At 52.6% G+C, this 19464-nt stretch overlaps 1 protein-coding gene across 44 annotated transcripts in view, besides 1 other annotated feature; it reads right to left on the bottom strand.

Annotated features, from left to right (window-relative positions):
• Nucleotides 1-19464, bottom strand: part of EVC (EvC ciliary complex subunit 1) — a 117857-nt gene that overhangs the window by 11151 nt on the left and 87242 nt on the right. For 33 of the 44 annotated variants that reach the window (XM_047449774.1, XM_047449769.1, XM_047449778.1 and 30 more), the window contains 7 exons: nucleotides 19115-19321; nucleotides 15813-15957; nucleotides 13066-13177; nucleotides 9580-9706; nucleotides 8296-8389; nucleotides 7457-7568; nucleotides 3745-6954 (listed from right to left, as the gene is read on the bottom strand). In XM_047449774.1, coding sequence (XP_047305730.1) covers nucleotides 6870-6954; nucleotides 7457-7568; nucleotides 8296-8389; nucleotides 9580-9706; nucleotides 13066-13177; nucleotides 15813-15957; nucleotides 19115-19321 — 882 coding nt within the window. In that variant the 3' untranslated portion in view covers nucleotides 3745-6869. Of the gene's footprint in view, nucleotides 1-3601; nucleotides 6955-7456; nucleotides 7569-8295; nucleotides 8390-9579; nucleotides 9707-13065; nucleotides 13178-15812; nucleotides 15958-16074; nucleotides 16158-19114; nucleotides 19322-19464 lie in introns of those variants that run through there. The other 11 variants (XM_047449800.1, XM_047449801.1, XM_047449807.1 and 8 more) reach the window with 4 other exon arrangements.
• Nucleotides 4876-4925: an enhancer, noted in NCBI's record as "active region_21246". NCBI's record gives its function as "activates an Ori minimal core promoter by ATAC-STARR-seq in GM12878 lymphoblastoid cells {active_cell/tissue: GM12878}" and the evidence as "EXISTENCE:reporter gene assay evidence [ECO:0000049][PMID:35858748]".

The raw sequence follows: 19464 nt of genomic DNA, 5'->3' as shown, positions 1-19464 counted from the left end.
TTTCCTTCATCTACGTAAAGCCAAACCATTTTCAGATGTCACCAGTAGGGTCTACCATGTTCTAGCCCCCAGGGTTGGTCTGGCCACCTTGATCATAGACAGTGGACAAGAGAAGGTGCTACCCTTATCCTGGGGCCAAATCTCTATAGACTCAACAGAGCTACTCTTCTGACGTAAGTGCGTAACCCTCCTCTGTGTTACTCTTTCCAAGGCAGAGTGTGGCCGTGATGCCCATTGACAGTGTCATTTGCCTAAAGGTTCATTCCAATCAAGTCCATTTATGAAGTGAAAAACCATGAAAAGAAGTTTCCTAAGCAAAAGGGGCTCTTAGCAAGTTGAACTTTCTATTTTTCTCTTAGTGCAGACCTGCAGAGATTTTAGAGGAAAAGACACAGGGGCCCTGGTGCACCTGGCTTCAGAGTAAAGCCTCTCACTGGTAGTCTGTTCCCAAGAGGAGGAAAGCTGTGGCATGGCTGTGCGTCCAGAGTCCATCTGGGAATTTTCTGGGAGATCTATCAAACCACTTAGGCAGCCTGGCTATCCATTATGCCTGGATGTGGACTTCAAAGTCTTTCCCTATCAGACGGGAGCCAAACACCACGTGGGTAGCTTGGGGTCCCAGCTTGCAATGGACAAGAGCCCCGACACGGTGCAGGAAGCCTCTATAGCCACTGCCCTCCCCCATCCAGGCCACTGTATTTGGAAGGAAGAATGTCGACCAGGACCTCCATGACTCCAGTTTCATAGCAAAAAAGAACACTCCGTATCCCAACGTTCACTTGTAGCCATGTGGGCAAATGCCTGGTGCAGGGGATTTCTCCTGGGCCAGGCGGCCCTGTGACCTTTAGGCTGGGGCCTCAGCCTCACTGATTCCTTCTCCCAACCTGCCCTGCCTTTGCCCAGAGCATGACGGAGGCAGCTAAGTGGTTTCCAGAGAAAGGAGAACATGGACAGGAGTCAGTTCTCTAGGGTTGCCTGGGCCCAGAGTTCTCAGGAGGTTGAAGGGTCAACTAAGCCTGAGACGGCAAGTGCCTTGGTCCACGTCCTCTGAGACGCAGACACTGAGCCAGGATTAGATGTGGGCAAGATGTGTACTGGGGGACATATCTGTGAGGCAAAATGAGGAGAGAGCCAGAGGAGGCAGAGCCCACAGATTTGCGATGCAGCTGACAGCCCCATGATGGAGGGAGAGAGGGAGGGGAGAGAGGGGAGAAGGGAAGGGAGGGAGGGAAGGGAGAGAGGGGAAGGAGGGAGGGAAGGGAGAGAGGGGAAGGAGGGAGGGAGAAAAGAAGGACAGAGGGGGTAAGGAAAGAAGGGAGGGAGGGGAGGAAGGGAGTGAAGAGAGGGTAGAAAGGAGGGAGGGAGGCAAGACTCTGGTGCTGCACAGTTCTACATCTCAGCAGGTAGAGCAAGAAGTCCTGGGGCCCAGGCTGTCCTCTGGAGGAGCCCTGTCATGTGGGCTAAGGAGGCCTCCACATCCCTGCCTCTTGCAGGCACTGGGAGCACCCTGCAGGAAGTGTGGCCTCCATGCTCACGCAGGGAAGGATTTCTGAGCACGGCAGGAAATCCCAAGGATGTTGGTCGTTTTTGCTCCTTGCCGTTGGGGACCCAAGAGGTACATGTTCATGGCCACCACAGCCAGAACAAGGCGGATGAAGAGCTCACCTCAGACTAAGTCCAGCGGCTGGACTGCAGGCTATGTCGGTGGGCAGGAGGTGCATCAGGAAGTGGACCAAGTCCATCAGCGGGAGCCCAGTGGGGAAAAAACAGATCCCCAGGCCTCCTGTCCAATCTGCTGACTCAGAATCTCTGGGATGGGGCTAAGAATGTTGTTTTTAATGAGCCCCTGGGTAATGCTGACACACAGCCAAATCTATAAGCCATGGGGGGAAAATAGTATTCCTGGCCTCCCTCCCTCCCTCCTTCCTTTCCAATCCATACACCACAGGAGGAAAGTATATACTCAGCGTTCCTCCCTCCCTTCCTTCCAAACCAGTTGCCACAGGAGGAAAGGAATATTCCCAGGCCTCCCTCCCTTCCTTCCACCAGGTGACCATGAATGCCTGTTATATGCCAGGTGGCATGTGGCCGGTCAATGGTGTACATTCCAGGGGGGACGTCAGGTGCGAATCAAATGATTACTCAAAGCACCGAACTGCACACTCTGTTAAGGGCTATAGAGGAAACATTTAGGGGAGAATAATCCCATCTCCCACTCCTCTGGTTTCCATAGAGGGAGGGGCTTCCACTCTCTGGGGGACAGCACAAGGGACTTCCCTGGCCCCTCTCCCTCTCTCTTTTATTCTTCTCTGGGGAGGAGGAGAAATACCTGATTGGCCAGTCTGGGAAGGATCACTCCCAAGACAGTGCCTGCCTCTGGATCGATTCGTTCCCCCTATAAATCACGCTTTACCCTCTAAACGGCCACATTTCCCCCATTTCCCGTCTCCCTATGAGGGTGTGGAAGCACCTGGACCTCACTGGTTTGTGGGGTCATCACTCTCCTGCAATTCCCCATGCCATGCACGTTACGTTGGAATGCTTTTCTTTTTCCTATTGGTCTGCCTTTGGTCAATTGTTTCTCAAGGAGCCTTCGTAGGGTGGAGGAAAAGCTTGCCCTCTGTGCCCCACAGCTGATTCACTGTAAAGCTCATGGAGCTCACACTTCTGCCACCTGTGCACAGACCCCACCGAGACCCGGGAGTGGGCTTAGCCACGGGTTCACTGACACATTCCTTACAGTTTACAATGCCACAGTCAGATCTTTTAGCTGCAATCCTTAAGACCACTGTTCCCTTTCCTGCTGATGCCACTGCATATCAGGTGACACTAGGGAGGCCTGGGACATTTGGAGGATCTGGGTAAGGGCCAGTTGAGTTGGGTTTAGTGGGATTGTTTATGTGGGTCTCACTGTACACCTCTGTGTATAGTGATGAACTTGGACAAGAAATAAAGGAAGGTTATTTATATGCTCCCCCACCGACCTCACCCCAGTCCCAGCAGCAAAGAACACAGGACCTAGAATCTAAGGGGGGCCCTGATGTTGTTCAGGGTTGGGGGCAGAGGGGGATCTCTGGAGATGTGAGTCCTGACTCCATGTGAGGAGTGGCTAGGAGCCACTGGGCAGAGGGCTGGGGAGGGGGGCAGGGGTCTTCCAGAAAGAATGCACATCATGAGCAAAGGCCCAGTGGGGGGCAGGGGTGTGGCCCATGTGAGGCCATGAGAGAAGACAGGGACCAGGTGCAGAGTGAAGGGGAAGGGCATCTGCTAGGCCGCAGGGGTGGGCTCAGCCTAGACCTCTCTGAGCCTCATGGTCCATGGTAAAGATCTGGCTTTTTCTCCTAAGAGCCAGGGAACGCCGCCCATAAGGCCAGGCAGATTTGCGTTGGAGAACATGTGATGGGCGGATGGCAGGGGCAGGAGAGGCTTCTGTGGCAACAGCAAGATCAGCACCGCCCTGGCCAGGGCCTCAGAAGGAATGTGGTGCAGAACGTGACCCCTGGTTGGCCAGGAGGGTCCTGGGAGAGTGCACTCACCCTGGGGGAGTACAAAAAACCGTGCTGGCTTCATCCTGCGGTCTCAAGTACAGGTCAGAGGGTGCTATTTTCACCAAAGAATTAAATCATGAGTTCATCATAATACATCATCTCTCATGGTCCCCTTCCAAATCCACATCCATCCATCACCATAACAGCCCACAGCCCATAATAAGTGGGGATGGTAACCAAAATGGAGGCAGGGTACCTGCGAGGCATCCTGGGGCTGCACTGCTGATCCTCTTCTCTCTCCCCTGGCCCTGAGTGCTGCCTTCATGTGGCTCAGCCCTTCCGTCCTTCAAGCCTTCATCAGCTTCAGGGCAGCCCCGAGTCTGTGCCCAGGTACACTGGCTAAAATGCAGTGTCTTCCAAATAGCCATATCTCATTTTAATCAGGGAGCAATTCCAGCATGGAAGTCCCCATCATGCTCCTGCTGGCAGGTACAGGTGCCAGTTTGTGACGGATGAAAGCACCGACAGCCCACGCGTCTTCATCATGGAGGCCTGTGCCCCAGACTGTGCCCAGCACAACAGCTGGGCGGCAAGGGTGGGCCAGGGTCGAGCAAATGACACGTTCCCTTTGGCTAAGGAAGACACCCCAGAAGCAAAATGCTCCATGCGACAGCCAGGCATTCAGGCTACAAGCTCGGTGGCGGGGAGGCAGCCGGGAGCCTTCTCAGAGGAGAAGGGTCCCGTGATCATTCCACAGATGCTTTCAGAGCTCTGGGCTCAGGGTAACCGACCAATTATGGTGCTGCCAGAGGGCCTGCATTTACTATACACACGTCACAAAATCAGGCTTCCCCGGGAGGAGCCATCGGACTCTGTGCAGAGGGCCCATGTGACAATATAAAAGTGATTTCTGGCCGGGCGCGGTGGCTAACGCCTAATCTCAGCACTTTGGGGAGGCCGAGGCAGGTGGACGATGAGGTCAGGAGTTCGAGAGCAGCCTGGCCAGTATGGTGAAACCCCGTCTCTACTAAAATAAAATACAAAAAAGATTTAGCCAGGCGTGGTGGCACACGTCTGTAGTCCCAGCTACTGGGGAGGCTGAGGCAGGAAAATCGCTTGAACCCGGGAGATGGAGATTGCCATGAGCCGAGATCACGCCACTGCACTCCAGCCTGGGCAAAAGTGATTTCTATGCAAAGCAGGTTTTAAGAATATTGCACCAAGGAAGCCATAGCTTTGCACAACTCCATGGAATAACCAAGTTTTTTAGTGAACCACAAGAGGGAGCTGTTGGTTAACTTTGGAGAGCCCACTGGCTGATGGGTGAGGAACTGAAGGAAGCGCTCTGATGATTAAGTTTTGGCCACTGGGAAGGAGTCACTTGTTTCTAAGAGAGTCTATTTCAGGTTTTAAGAAATGAAAAGTCACAAATGACCCTGAAAATTCCTGAGATAGGGGCTCCCAGAGCCAGAGGGCTCACTAGGTTCTGGGGATTTTTGGACGTATCCACGGCTATGTCCTGGATTAGACCAGGGCAAGGCACCCTTTGACTCAGCACAGTGGGTGATAACCCCATGGACACGGGGCAGTGTCTGGAGACATCCTTGGTTGCCACGAATGGTGGGAGTGCTGGCATCTGGTGGGCAGAGACCAGGGACACTGGAACATCCTGTGATGCTCTGGGCAGCTCCTTCCCCTGAAGAATGATCTCGCCCGGTATGTTCACAGTGCTGAGGGTGACAGTCCCTAACCTCCATCAAAGGAGCAATTTTCCCTCCAGGTGGGAACGGCCTCTCCTGGCTGTGGTGAGAGGGGCTGGTCTGGAAGTTTCTCTCCAGGTGGGAAAGGCCTCTCCTGGCTGTGGTGTGAAGGGCTGGTCTGGAAGCTTCTCTCCAGGCAGGAACGGCCTCTCCTGGCTGTGGTGTGTGGGGCTGGTCTGAAAGTTTCTCTCCAGGCAGAAAAGGTCTCTCCTGGCTGTGGTGTGAGGAGCTGGCCTGAAGCTTCTCTCCAGGCGGGAAAGGCCTCTCCTGGCTGTGGTGTGAGGGGCTGGTCTGGAAGTTCCTCTCCCGGTGGGAAAGGCCTCTTCTGGCTGTAGTGAGAGGGCTGGTCTGGAAGTTTCTCTCCCGGTGGGAAAGGCCTCTCCTGGCTGTGGTGTGAGGGGCTGGTCTGGAAGTTTCTCTCCCGGTGGGAAAGGCCTCTCCTGGCGGTGGTGTGAGGGGCTGGTCTGGAAGTTTCTCTCCAGGTGAGAAAGGCCCCTCTTGGCTGTGGTATGAGGGGCTGGTCTGGAAGTTTCTCTCCAGGTGGGAAAGGCCTCTCCTGGCTGTGGTGTGAGGGGCTGGTCTGGAAGCTTCTCTCCAGGTGGTAAAGGCCTCTCCTGGCTGTGGTGAGAGGGGCTGGTCTGGAAGTTTCTGTCCAGGTGGGAAAGGCCTCTCCTGGCTGTGGTGTGTGAGAGGCTTGTCCGGAAGTTTCCAGGCGGGAAAGGCCTCTCCTGGCTGTAGTGAGAGGGCTGGTCTGGAAGTTTCTCTCCAGGCTGGAAAGGCTTCTCTTGGCTGTGGTGTGAGGGGCTGGTCTGGAAGTTTCTCTACCGGTGGGAAAGGCCTCTCCTGGCTGTGGTGAGAGGGGATGGTCTGGAAATTTCTCTCCAGGTGAGAAAGGCCCCTCTTGGCTGTGGTATGAGGGGCTGGTCTGGAAGTTTCTCTCCAGGTGGGAAAGGCCCCTCCTGGCTGTGGTGTGTGAAGGGCTGGTCTGGAAGCTTCTCTCCAGATGGGAAAGGCCTCTTCTGGGTGTGGTGAGAGGGCTGGTCTGGAAGTTTCTGGATGCTCTCAGCATCTATCAGGGAGAGCAGGTGCCCCCATGACATCTCTCTGCACGGGCAGGGTGTCTACTGTCCGGAAGAAGCCCCTCCCCAGGTGAAGTGAGGGTTGGGCCACACCCTCTTCCTCATATTCTAAGTGTCCTCAGAGAATACATTTCTGCAGGTGTCATTATGTATCTGTGTGTCCTCAGCCCCAGATGGGCCCAGACAGGCCTTTGGGCCAGGGATTCCAGAGTCTGCATCAGGGGTCCTTGGCCTGAGGCTCGGACCCCTCAAGACGTCCCTCCTTGGGGAGAAAGATCCATGAGGCATCGAGCCAGGGCTCCAAGCCAAATGAAATGCAAACTCACAGAGACGTGTTTCCAAGACGGGAATGCCTAATTTTCTCAGGTGATACTCATTTATGCTTTTAGGGCACATTTCTATTCTTTCTCTGTCCCTCTCAGAAGAGCCTAGAGATGCCGCTGTCCTCTCCGTCCTCGCTGCCTCTCAGCACTGCAGGAGGGAAGGTGGAATTCACACCCAGACCCAGGGCTTCAGGTCTTGTCCCACCGACTGGTCTTAAACTACAAGTTGCTTCTTCTCTTTAGCATCTTCTTTGAGTTCCCACTGTCCCCAGCTTCACTTTCTTGCTGACTCAGCCTTTTGCTGCTTAAAACAGAGAAGAAAGGCAGCCAGTTAGAACGCTGACTCCATGCCCATCATGATGCCATAACTTACCCAATCGGATTAAATGAAAATGCAGCCAAAGGTGATCAAAACAATTTTTACTTTGACATGGGTTGTTAAGAAACCAATAAAACCCGTTTCCCTCCTTGGGTAGGAGGTCATCCAAGTGCCATGACCACAGCCATCCCTGGTCAAAGAAGGGACTGCCCAACACTTCAGGCTGGATGCCAATGGGGTGTGGAGGTAGGTCAAGGCTCATCTGGCCAAATGAGACACAAACAGGAAGGGTAACAGCCATGTGGCACCCCTGGTATCATCATGGCTTACTGCCCACAAATTACGTTCATATCTGTCATTTCTTGAACCTTCACATTTAATGCCTCTGAGGGGACTGATGATTTTCCTGCCCTGACTTTTGGCACACAGCAGCTGAGTGCATTTACCAAACCCAGCCACAGGCAACAGGTCCGGGGCCCAGTCATACCTGAGTGAGCCTGAGGTCTGGTCCCCGGAGGCAAGGTCCTCATTGTTGGGCACCCCCAGGTCCCCTCTTTCCTGGGGCAGGGGCTTCTTCCTTTTAGTCCTTAGGGGCTTCTCTGTAGAGGACAGATGAACCCAGGCATGGCTCTGTGACTTTAGACAAGTGACAACTTCTTGCAGCCTCACACCAACCCAGCCTGACATTTTTGAGCATGTTGTGTGGGCCAAGTGTATGCTTGGTATCTTATGCTATTGCAGCCACTCAACTAATGAGGAAACTGAGGCCTGGGAAGGTGACGTACTCTCCCAAGCCTGCACAAGCCAGGAAGTGGCAGAGCTGTGGCTTGAGCTCCAGTCTGCTAGGCTCCCGCTGGGTATCCACTCTACCCAGCTGACTGGAAGACTTAATGAAGCAGCAAGCAACTGAAAACCCAGCACCAGTGTGACAGCTTTTGTTTCAGTAGATCTCTGTGTTCTCACACCACCTTCTGAGTCACTCTCTCATTACCAGGTTAAAAAATCCTGTGATGTCACTGAAGTTGTCGCTGGCAAGGGTGGGAGGAGGGCTTATCCCCACTTTACAGATGGAAAAATGGAGTCAGTTAGGAGACACAGCCAGTGAACACCAGACCCAAGAACTGGAATTATCAAATGCTAGAGAGCAAGTGGGCCTGAGGGGTGGCCTAGCCAAGCCTGCTCATTTACAGACAAGGTCACAAAAGCCCAGAGAGCCTAGGCACGATGCCTAAGGTCACACAGCTAGTTAGTGGCCAGTGTGGAACTAGAATCCGTATCTCTCAGCCCAGAGTGCTTCCCGCTGCAACTCAAGCATCTGTGACTCACCTAGCAGCCCACGCTTAGCAGGCAACAGTTTGCTTTCAGCAAGGGGCACTCGGGCCAAGGCTGCCAGCTCGGAGATGAAGTTCTGTTCAGCTTCCTGAAATGCAAGCAGAGAGGAGCATTCAGCTGGGCCTCCCTCTGACTTCTCTAAATCCCTCTCCACGTGAGTGAATTCTGACACTTGAGGCTGGCCACTGAAGACCACGTCTCCCGTGTGGAGGAGAATTTTCCAACATACATCCCAGAGAGGAGAGGAGCAGGAGGACACACTGGCATCTACCAGCTCCTGCTGCATAACTGTGGGTCCTCACTCACACTGGCCGTCGGTCTTCAGTTGACAGAGTACACTGAGGTCAGAGGGCCTCAGTGACCTGCCCGGAGCAGGTGCAGCAGAATAGGATGGGACTCACTTCTGCCCGACTCCACAGGCTGGGCTCTAAACTTCCAACACTGTGGTGTAAACAAACACACCAGAATTCCATGATGCATTAACTGTGTGACCCTGGATAGCAACGTAACCTGTGCATGCCTCAGTTTGTCCATCTGTAATGGGGACAGTAGCAGTAACCTCTTTTGTTGGAAAGTGTGTGCAAAGCTCTCAGCTCATGACTATCTATCATAGACCCTCAATAAGTACCTATCGGCCACCACTGCTGTATTCTTACCACTGTCACTCTGCGACTGCCATCGCCAGTGGAGAACACTCTGAAAGGGCCAACACTCTGCTAAATGCTTCCATTCTGGAAGATTTGATTTTTTTAAAGGCAGCCACTTTGCTTAGCCACACTTTATACTCTCACCTTACATCTCACTGTATAACCTCACACAAATGGGATTTTCTGTAATGAAATATGCACTTTATATCATGAGAGCTGAGCTTCCTGTTTGCTGTAAATAAAGTGTAAACTTTAGCTATCGCCAACACTGCCTGAGTGACACAGAGGTCACCATTACACCGGAAGCCTCCTGGTGGCCATGCGCACACAGGGGAATGCTCAATTCTCTGTCAGCTCCATAGATGAGGCCTGACCAGCTGCTCAGGGCCTGGCCCTGCTTAGCATGCTGCAGCTGCTGTAGGGATCCACACAGGCCACACTTGCCCTCCAGGGGCTCAGGGTCCTAAGGCGAGGCCGACACACCCTCAGCAGGTGAGACTCAGCGGGTCAACGATGCCACAGGCAGGGAAGTGCAGTCCCCATGGCTGACGTGTGGTCACAGGCTGGCTTCAGCTATTTCTGCTCCTCTTTAAACCACTGCTTTTGGAAGGTCCAGTTCTGTAACTTGTACCTGTAGCTGGGTCTCCAGCTGGGCTTCCAGAAGGTCCATGACTCCTGCCTGCTGCTGCTGGGCGTGCAGACGCATCTGCTGGTGCACTGGGAACTGGGCCAGGAACCTCTTCTGCTGGGACAGCATCCTGGGGGGAGGAAGGCAGGCAGGCTGGCAGGGAGGAAGGAAGGGAGGGAGGGAGGGAGGGAGGGAGGGAGAAGGAAGGCAGGGAGGCTGCTGATCCCTGGGAGCCCCAAGAGGGGCCTGGCCATCGGGGGCACCATTCACAGCAGCCCCAGCTCCAGTCCCCACAGGCAGGCTGCCTCTCCATCAAAGTGGACGCCCTTTACAACACGGGAGTTTAGAGAGTCCTGCCCACACACTTTGCATGTGATCTTCGGAGGAGCTTCATGACACCAGCAGGACAGAGTAGAAAAGCTGGGGGGAAGAAACCCAGAGAGGTGGGGGCCTCCCTCAGGACACACGTCTGTGAAGTGGCGGAGCAGAAGGTGGCATCTTCTCATGAGAAAACAATCTTTTCCCCAGGGAGGAGCATTCTCCTGAAAGGACCAGAGGCCTACCGGCTACCCATCCCTGAGTTTAAATCTCAGAACTGCCCCGGCCCCTCCCTCGTAAAATGAGAAGCTTCTTGGGATGCAGCCTCTGGGAAATCCCGAATACGGCAGGCAGCCTGTTACTCTCAGAGAGGGGGACAGAGCTGGAGCAGAGGCCGGGTACCTGAGCCCCAGGGCCCACCTCCCTCTCTGGATGCCCTCCGTTCCTAAGCAGTCAGGAACATCCAAATCCAGCCACCCTGTTTCCATTATTGCTCCCTGCCTGCCTCCTTCCCATCTTTTAGGGCAGATTTTCTGAAAGGGGTCGAATTTCTAGACCTGAAGTCAGGGCCACCTTTAGCATGGATAGGCAGCTGTGCGTGTGGAGTGCTCCGAGGTGTGAAAATGCCACCCTGCTCCTACCTCACACTCTTCTGTCCGCCAGTAACACCTTTCCTCTCTGTTTTTGCCCAGCAAATTCCTGTGCACCCTACAAGACGCTGTCATCCATCCCTCCACCTCTCACTCCATTCCTCCCTCCCTCCATCCATCCACTCATTCCTTCATTAAAGTATCTCTGGCCTGCCAGGTGCTGTGCTGGGTTCTGAGACAAAGGTGTGAACAGAGACCCACAGTCCCCGTCCTCAAGGAGCTCTAGTTTGAGTGGCAGGAAGGAGGGTGGACAGTAAACAAATCACTCATTTGGCACAGCTGAGGCCAGCACTCCAGACTCCAGCCTCTCTCACACCTTAAAGGAGGCCGAGTTCCACTAGAAACCGTGCCTATGGACATGAATAGACGTTCTTAAAAAAAAGACACACAAATGGCCAAGAAGCATGTGAAAAAACTCTGAGCATCACCCATCATCAGAGGAATGCAAGTTAAAGCCACAAGGAGATATCATCTTACCCCAGTTAGAATGGCTATCACTAAAAAGACAAACTATAACACTTGGTGAGGATGTGGAGAAAAGGGAACACTTATGCACCATTGGTGGGAATGTATATTAGTGCAGCCTGTATGGAAAACAGCATGATTTCTCAAAGAACTAAAAATAGAATGACCATTTGATCCAGCAATCCCACTACTGGGTATCTACCCAAAGGAAAATAAATCAGTATATCAGAAAGATACCTGCTCTCGTGTGTTCATTGCATTATTCACAATAGCAAAGATATGGAATCAACCTAAGTGTCCATCAATGGAGGACTGGATAAGGAAAATGTGGTCCATATACACAATGGAATACTACTCAGCCATAAAAAAGAATGAAATCATGTCTTTTACAGCAACGTGGATGGAACTGGAGGCCATTTTCTTAAGTGAAACAACTCAGAAACAGAAATATCTCATATTTTCAGTTATGAGTGGGAGCTCAATAATGTGTGCACATGGACACAGCGAGTAGAATGACAGGCTGGGCGCAGTGGCTCACACCTGTAATCCCAGCACCGAGAGGCCAAGGCGGGTGAATCACCTGAGGTCAGGAGTTTGAGACCGGCCTGGCCAACATGGTAAAACCCCATCTCTACTAAAAATACAAAAAAATTAGCTGGGCATGGTGGTGCGCGCCTGTAATCCCAGCTACTCGGGAGACTGAGGCAAGAGAATCGCTTGAACCCGGGAGGCGGAGGTTGCAGTGAGCTGAGATTGCACCACTGCATTCCAGCCTGGGCAACAGAGCAAGACTCTGTCTCAAAAAAAAAAAAGAGAGTGGAAGGATGGACAACAGAGACACAGAAGGGCGGCGGGACGATGGGAGGGGAGTGGATGATGAGAAATTAATGGGTAAAACGTACACTATTTGGGTGATGGTTACAATAAAGGCTCAGACTTCACCACTATTCAATATAGCTATGTCACAAAATTGTACTGTCACTCCTTCAAAAAAAAAAAAAAAAAAGAAAAGAAACTGCCTCTGAATTCAAGGAGGTGTGACAGGGAGGGAAGGGCATCAACAGCCACATATAAGCTGTGAGTCACAGATGGGCTCATGCACCCCCTTTCCCAACACTGGGCTTCCTTTTCCTCTTCCATAAAGCAGGTTGGCCCAGCTGGCTGCTGAGGCTCCTTCTCTTGGATCACCTGGGTCAAAGTGAAGCCCTTGGACCACATCTATCAGTATCCCTTGGTGCGGAGAGGTGCGGCTAAAATTCAGATTCTTGGGCTCTCCTCACACTTTCTGAGCCTGAGTCTCCAGGTGTGGGCCCAGAACCTGCAAGTTTCGCAGGAAAGCCGAGTGATGCTTCTGCGCCCCACATCTGAGGACTTGCCAGACTGTAGTTTGCTGGGAGCCTGGAAAGTTAGGGCAAGTTCGGTCTGTGCAAACCCTGCAGCAGGGCGTTTCCTGACACCTGTTACTGAGCAGCTTCCTAAGAACAGCCCGGTCGGCGGGCCCCTTCGCTCAGGCCTTGTGAGGCACAGAGAAGCCAGGAGAGCCAAGCCTGCCTTCTGACCTCCAGCACTGTGGGACAGGCAGTCTACATGGCTTGGGCTGTTACATTTGCACTCATTGTGATGGTCACAGTTACAGGAAGCAGCCACCTCTTCCTCACTTCCCTGCCCTCTCACTGTGCCTCTGCGGGTCACCTCCCAGGTAAACAACCTGCCCCCAAATCCTCGTCAAGGTCTGCTTCTGAGAATGCCCAAAGTATGAGAGGGTAGGCGCGTGTCTAAACATGGCTTAGACCTGTGTCCGGGCTGTGAATGCCACTTAAACCTGGGAATGAAGCTGCCACCACACCATGACCTGCTCACTCATTTGTGCCAGGTGCCACTCCAGGTGCTGCATGGAGGGCAGAGACCAGGACAGAGGCAGCGGGTGAGGAAGGCCGATGGCCCCCAAGTCCACGGGCAATGCACGCGACGGCACCTGCTGACGGCACCACAGAGAGATATGCCATGTGAATGGGGTAGAGAACAGCCCTACGTGGGACCTCAGTTGGGACCTCACCTCTGGTGGACCGCCTGGGAGGTCTCATGAGCGCCACCTGCCGTCCTGCTGCCCGACGAAGGGTTGCTGAGTTCTTGCTTTTTCCGCAGTTTGTAATTTTCCATCCTCTCACCTAGACCATTTAACACAGGACAATCAAGGGGTCTGTTTGGAGGATCCACTGTGCCAGGTCTGGGGCAGGTGCTGGGGTGCAGGGTGAGTGAGACACACCAGCTCTCCAAGAGTGTATCCTTCCACCAGCACAGGGACAGGGCATTGTGTGCACAAACAACACAGCTTCCATCATGGACCAGGCACTGCAGAGCGAAACTATGATGCGCCCTGTCCACCTGCTCCACCTGTAGCTTTCTTGTATCAGGAGAAATGGGTGCCGACTAAGAAAAAGTCAACACTGAGAAGGCACCACAAAGAGCTTAAAAGCCACACTGTAAAGGAAAAGTGATTGGCCAGGCAGAGTGAGGGCACAGTGCCGAAGTGGGTGCTCTCCAAGGAGCTAGGAAGTCTGGGCTCTGAAGTTATGCCCCATTTCTTGGAGCTCCTTCTTGTTTGCAGGTTAAGCTGCTCAGAAAACTCTTGGCTTTTAAAAGCTTTAAAAGTAAAGTGAGGCCGGGCGAGGTGGCTCACGCTTGTAATCCCAGCACTTTGGGAGGCCGAGATGGGTGGATCACCTGAAGTCAGGAGTTCGAGACCAGCCTGGCCAACATGGTGAAACCCTGTCTCTACTAAAAGTACAAAAATGAGCCAGGCGCAGTGACATGTGTCTGTAATCCCAGCTACTTGGGAGGCTGAGGGAGAATTGCTGGAACACAGGAAGCAGAGGTTGCAGTGAGCCGAAATCATGCCACTGCACTCCAGTCTGGGCGATTGAGTGAGACTCAGTCTCAAAAAAAAAAAAAAAGGTGATGAGGCTGCCTGAGACAGGCATGGTTTAGACCTGTCATCCCAGTATAATTATTAATAGTGCCCCTGGTTTGGACAGCTAACTATAGGATTACCTCTTCAAGGTACCTCTCAGCTGAAAACCCACTCAAGGATCAGTGGCCACGGCAGGAGGCCCATCACACTTAATTAGCTGGGAGAGCTTGCTGGCACTTACAGGGAGACTGAACCTGGATAGCCTCTGGGGACATAGCATGTACAACTCTTAAATAAAACAGATTACTAAATAAGGAAAAAGGAGTTGATGTGGCTTAAGCTATATCATTTCAATGTGTTTACTGTGAAATCCCTGCATGAGAGCTGGGGTATCAGGAAGCAGGAAATAAGAGCTGAGAGGATGGATGGGGGCTGGGGTGGGGCAGTCTCCAACCCTAGTCCCACAGATGGGGAAACCAAGGCCTACCAAGGGAAAGAGACATGCCCCAGTTCTGGAATGTTCTGCAGTAGCAAGCAATCATGTCTGTCTCCTGCTAAATGAGCCCAACTCTTCCTTTGGAAAACCTGGCAGATCTCTGGGCATGTGCCCCGATTTTATTTGAATCTAGGCCTCAAGTTCTTCAGGAGAAGGGGAAGACAGAGGTGGCCTCTGGGCTCAGCTGAGAGGAGAAACACTCAGGGAAGACTCTCCTGGGATAGATTCCAATTCCAGTCCTTGGACATGCCAGGCAAAGCCCATCAGAGAAGTGGAATCCCACCTACTCAGAAGTTCTGGATTCAGGGGAGGGTGTTGTAAGAAGTGGCATTTAAGAAATTGGCTTCCAACCATCCTTATCTGTATGTTACTGGAACTGGGGATACTGTCCTTTCTATCACCCCAGGGTGGCCTTTTACAAGAGCCCATGCGGGAAAATTCTTGGGGTCTCAAACACCCCCTGGACCACTGGACTCATGGTCACTGCGGTGGCTTTAACTAAGTAGGTGTCTGTCTCTTTCACCACCAGGAAGCTCACAGACGAAATCATTGAACGTCTAATTAGGATTTGCAGGCAGATATCCTAGATCAGGGATCCCCAACCCCTGGGCCACAGACTAGTACTGGTCCCTGGCCTGTTAGAAACCCAGCCACACAGCAAGACGTGAGCGGCAGATGAGTGAGCGAAGCTTCATCTGTATTTACAGCCGCTCCCCATCGCTCACATTACCGCCCGAGCTCCACCTCCTGTCACATCAGCAGTGGCATCAGAGTCTCATAGGAGCGTGAACCCTATTTCAAACTGCACATGCGAGGGATCTAGGTTGTGCATTCCTTATCTAATGCCTGATGATGTGCCGCTCTCCCATAACCCCCAGATGTGATTGTCTAGCTGCAGGTAAACAAGCTCAGGGCTCCCACTGATTCTACATTATGGTGAGTTGTATAATTATTTCACTGTATATTCCAATGTAATAATAATAGAAATGAAATGCACAATAGATATAATGCACTTGAATCGTCTGAAACCATTTCCCTCTCACCCTGGTCTGTGGAAAAATAGTCTTCCATGAAACCAGTCCCTGGTGCTGAAAAGGCTGGGGACTGCTGCCCTAGATAAGCCCTGGCCCTGACTCCATCTCAGTATCCTATCCTTGTCCTGAGTGACCGACTTAAAACACTCCCACTGCACTGGATGTGTGCTTATGCATATGTTTCTTTAAGTGCCTTTTGAAAAAGGCTTTTTGAGACAAAGCACGGGATAAATACATTAAAACACTGAAATAATTATATTCCCAAAAATAAAATTCACAGTATCTGACATCCTATTCTGCCCCAAACTAAAAGCACACATTGCCAGTCTCTTCTGGGGCTTCCCTGAGGGGGGGTCCCGTACCCTGCAGGGTCTTCAGGTGCTGCAGTTTTCTCTCCTCGTGGTCCTCCATGATCCTTCCGATTTGCTGGTAATACGCCTGCACCAGGCGGCTGACACCAGCGCTGGTCACGTAGACGCTCTCCACTGCCGCCTCCATCAGTGTCCTCTGAGGGAAGAAAGGAAGGACAGGGACAGCAGAGAAGTCACACGTGGGAGCCACCCACGGCCCATCCAGTCCCTGCCTCCCCATGCCCTGGTTCAGATCTTCCACCTACTCACCAACCTGGATTGGTCAGGAAGCAGGCAGAGAGTGCATGGCTGGTTTAAACTAGTCATGGGAATCCTATCTTCTTAGGTCAGGGATGTCTAGAGCCAATGAAATGCGATGTTAGGGAAAGTCGGCTAAGAGGCCTTCCCCGCATCTTTTTTTTTTTTTTTTTTTTTGAGATGGAGACTCACTCTGTTGCCTAGGCTGGAGCACAATCTCGGCCCACTGCAACCTCCATCTCCCAGGTTCAAGTGATTTTCCTGCCTCAGTCTCCCAAGTATCTGGGATTATAGGCAAGCACCACCAGGCCTGGCTAATTTTTTGTATTTTTAGTAGAGATGGGGTTTTGCCATGTTGGCCAGGCTGGTCTCAAACTCCTGACCTCAGGTGATCTGCCCACCTCGGCCTCCCAAAGTACTTGGAGTACAGGCATGAGCCACCACGCCCGGCCGAGGCCTTCCGTTTCTAAACATTAAGGTGGAGGACCAGCAGGTGAAAGACTGCTGTTCCCTCCTCCTACCTGGAATGCAGGCCTGACATCTGGAGTGACAGTGGCCATTTTAAGACTATGAAGCAACAAATTAACAGCAAGAATGCAGGGTCAGAAACAAAGACCCTCGTCCTCGGTCACATCACAAAGCCAATGTGGCAGCCTGGGTCACGCACCTCCCCATTTCTTGTGGTATGGGGTAACTTCTATTTCTTTGAGCCATGTTACTTGCAGCTACATGCGTTTCTACATGATGCATCTTCAGACCAAAGTAGAAAAGACAGGAGACCCTGAGACATCCCATCATTGGGGATGTGCTGGTTGTGCACTGACAAAGTTATCATTCTTTTCCTCATAAGAGGATGGGCAAAAGCCAGAAAAGCTCATCCCCATTTCGGCAAATATTTATTGGATGGTGCTAGGCTTTGGGTAAGAAAAAATACCCACTTACTCTCACCACAGCATCTGAGAAAGGTACCTGAGCACACAGGTGTGGCGCGGCGCGGAGGCTGCGGAGGTGACTAGCCTGTACAGCCCGGAGTGGCAGTGCAGGTCTGAGCTGGTCTTCTAACTCCCGAGCCCCTGCTCATCCCTTACTGCCAATGGTCCTTTCCTTCTCCTCTGCCCCATCTGCAAAGGGGGCTCCCACTCCACCCCTCCAAGGACCTGGGCTCCAGCCTTACACTTCCTGTCGGGAGCTCCCATCCTCTTTCCCCGAAGGTCAGCAAGCCCACCCACATCTTCACATCCTATGTGCACCTGCCTTCCTGCCACAGTAAAGTGGCGGACACCCCACTCTGCACCCACCTCTCCTCCCTTCACCAGGCCCTCCATCCTTGGCCACCCCTTCTCTCCTCCTCCTCAGTTTTTTTCTGGCCAGTCTCCCCGTACCCACTGGCACACACATTTGCACTAGTGTTCCAGGAAGCCCCTGAATACAGGTTGAATAAATGACCATTCTTCTAGAAACTAAACTCAATGCTTTTCTGTTTTTTGTTTGTTTGTTTGTTTTTTAGACAGAGTCTAGCTATGTCACCCAGGCTGGAGTGCAGTGGTGTGATCTTGGCTCACTGCAACCTCCGCCTCCCAGATTCAAGTGAGTCTGCTGCCTCAGCCTCCCGAGTAGCTGGGATTACAGGCGCACACCACTACACCTAGCTAATTTTTGTATTTTTAGTAGAGACGGGGTTTCACTGTGTTGGCCAGGCTGGTCTCAAACTCCTGACCTCAAGTGATCCACCCGCCTTGGCCTCCCAAAGTGCTGGGATTACAGGCGTGAGCCACTGCGCTCGGCCTCACTTTACTTTTACTTTTTTGTAATTGTGAAGTTGTGGTGGTACTCATTTTCCAATCTTGACTCAAAATCCCTCTGGAAAGCTGAGGACAAAATACGACACCCTTCTATCTTACTCCATTTTCATGCAGCGAGCATTTACTGTTAGGTAACATGTGGACAGTTCTAGGGACAGGGTGACATTCCCAATATCACCAGCCAGGCACAGCCCTAATTGTTTGGATAATCTGAGGCAGATGTGAGATATTTAGAATAAGACAGGGTGTTGCAGAAATGTGGGTCCAGCCTCTTTGCTGCACAGACACGCAAAGTGACTCGTTTTACTGAGATGAAAGGAACCCCTTGGAGGGCTCCTGGAAGGGCTCCTGCACTTCCCGATGCCAGGGCTGCCTGCTGGGCACAGGGCTGTAACCTGCTGCTGTCTCCCAGCCACAGACATCCTGCCTACAGTGGCCTGAAGCGAGCGAGGTGCTGTAAGGGGTGCCCTACCTCTCCTTACAGCTTGTAAGGGAGGCACCAGGCAGGCGCAGCGTGTATGCTGGTCATTCTCCTGCAGCCCCGGCGCTGCCACTCACTAGGTTGGAGGCTGGAAATGTATCATTTGCCCAATCGTAGGCCTCTTTTTCCCAACGGGAAGAAAAATGATCCTGACCATGCAAGGACTGTGGGGAAAATCCAACAAGACGAGGTAGGAAGAAGCACTTAGTTAGACTTAAGTGCAACGCTAATGTGACTTCTCACTGTTATCATTTTTATCACTATTATTTATGATTATTGTCAGTATAAGGAGTTAAACCACTGTCTACTCAAGCTGAACTGATTTTTAGCGGCATTGCTCAGCCGTCAGGATGAACTCCAGAAAGCTCTAATGTCTCAGCAGAGGCGGCCAGGGGCAGGGAAAGCACACGTCTCTCTTTCTGAGAGAGGGATTTGGGTTCCGATCCCGGTTCTGCCACTGACCAGCTGTGTGGCTCTGGGTGACACCATGTCTCACTCAGTGCTGCTGGGAAGACAGAGCCAGTGCTCAGGATGATGCAGCGCAGGGCCTAACAGCAGGGGGAGAACCGGTGATCTGCTGCGACTGCCCCTCCCCATTCTGCGAGGGAGAAGATCCCACCTTACAGATGAGAAAATCAAGTCATGGAGAAGTCAGGCAAAGTCTACTAGGCCACAAGCTCCATGAACGGTGTGGCAAGGAGCAGACCCAGGCATGGACCCTACCCTGAACATTCTTGCCCTCGGTGTCCCCAGGGACAGAGGTCAGTGCATACCTTGAAGTCATCCCTGTCCTTGGCCCGGCTCTTGGTGGCTGCATTCCGTGCATGCACCAGCAGCGCCTGCCCAATGGCGCACTCCATGTGCTGCTGCAGAAGCTGCCCCACCTCCTGGGCCTCGGCCAGGAGCCGCTGCTGGAGCTGCAGCCGTGTCTGCTGTGCTTCCTCCTCTAGCCGGCTGGCCTCCTCCAGCACACGCGCCTCCTGGGAGGGAAAGGACTGGGAGCAGGGGCCAAGTGCTCCTCTCACAGAGAAGCTCTGGCCAGGACTGGGATGTGGGGCTGGTCCTATCCAGGGCCCAGGGGTTGGAAAAGGGATGGAGAAAGGGCAGAAAGAGGTGGCCTCTG

Source organism: Homo sapiens, chromosome 4 (genome assembly GCF_000001405.40).
Source record: "Homo sapiens chromosome 4, GRCh38.p14 Primary Assembly".
NCBI classification, from domain to species: Eukaryota; Metazoa; Chordata; class Mammalia; order Primates; family Hominidae; genus Homo; species Homo sapiens.
The sequence above is the reverse complement of the archived record's forward strand: the minus strand, read 5'-3'. Positions and strand labels throughout refer to the sequence as shown.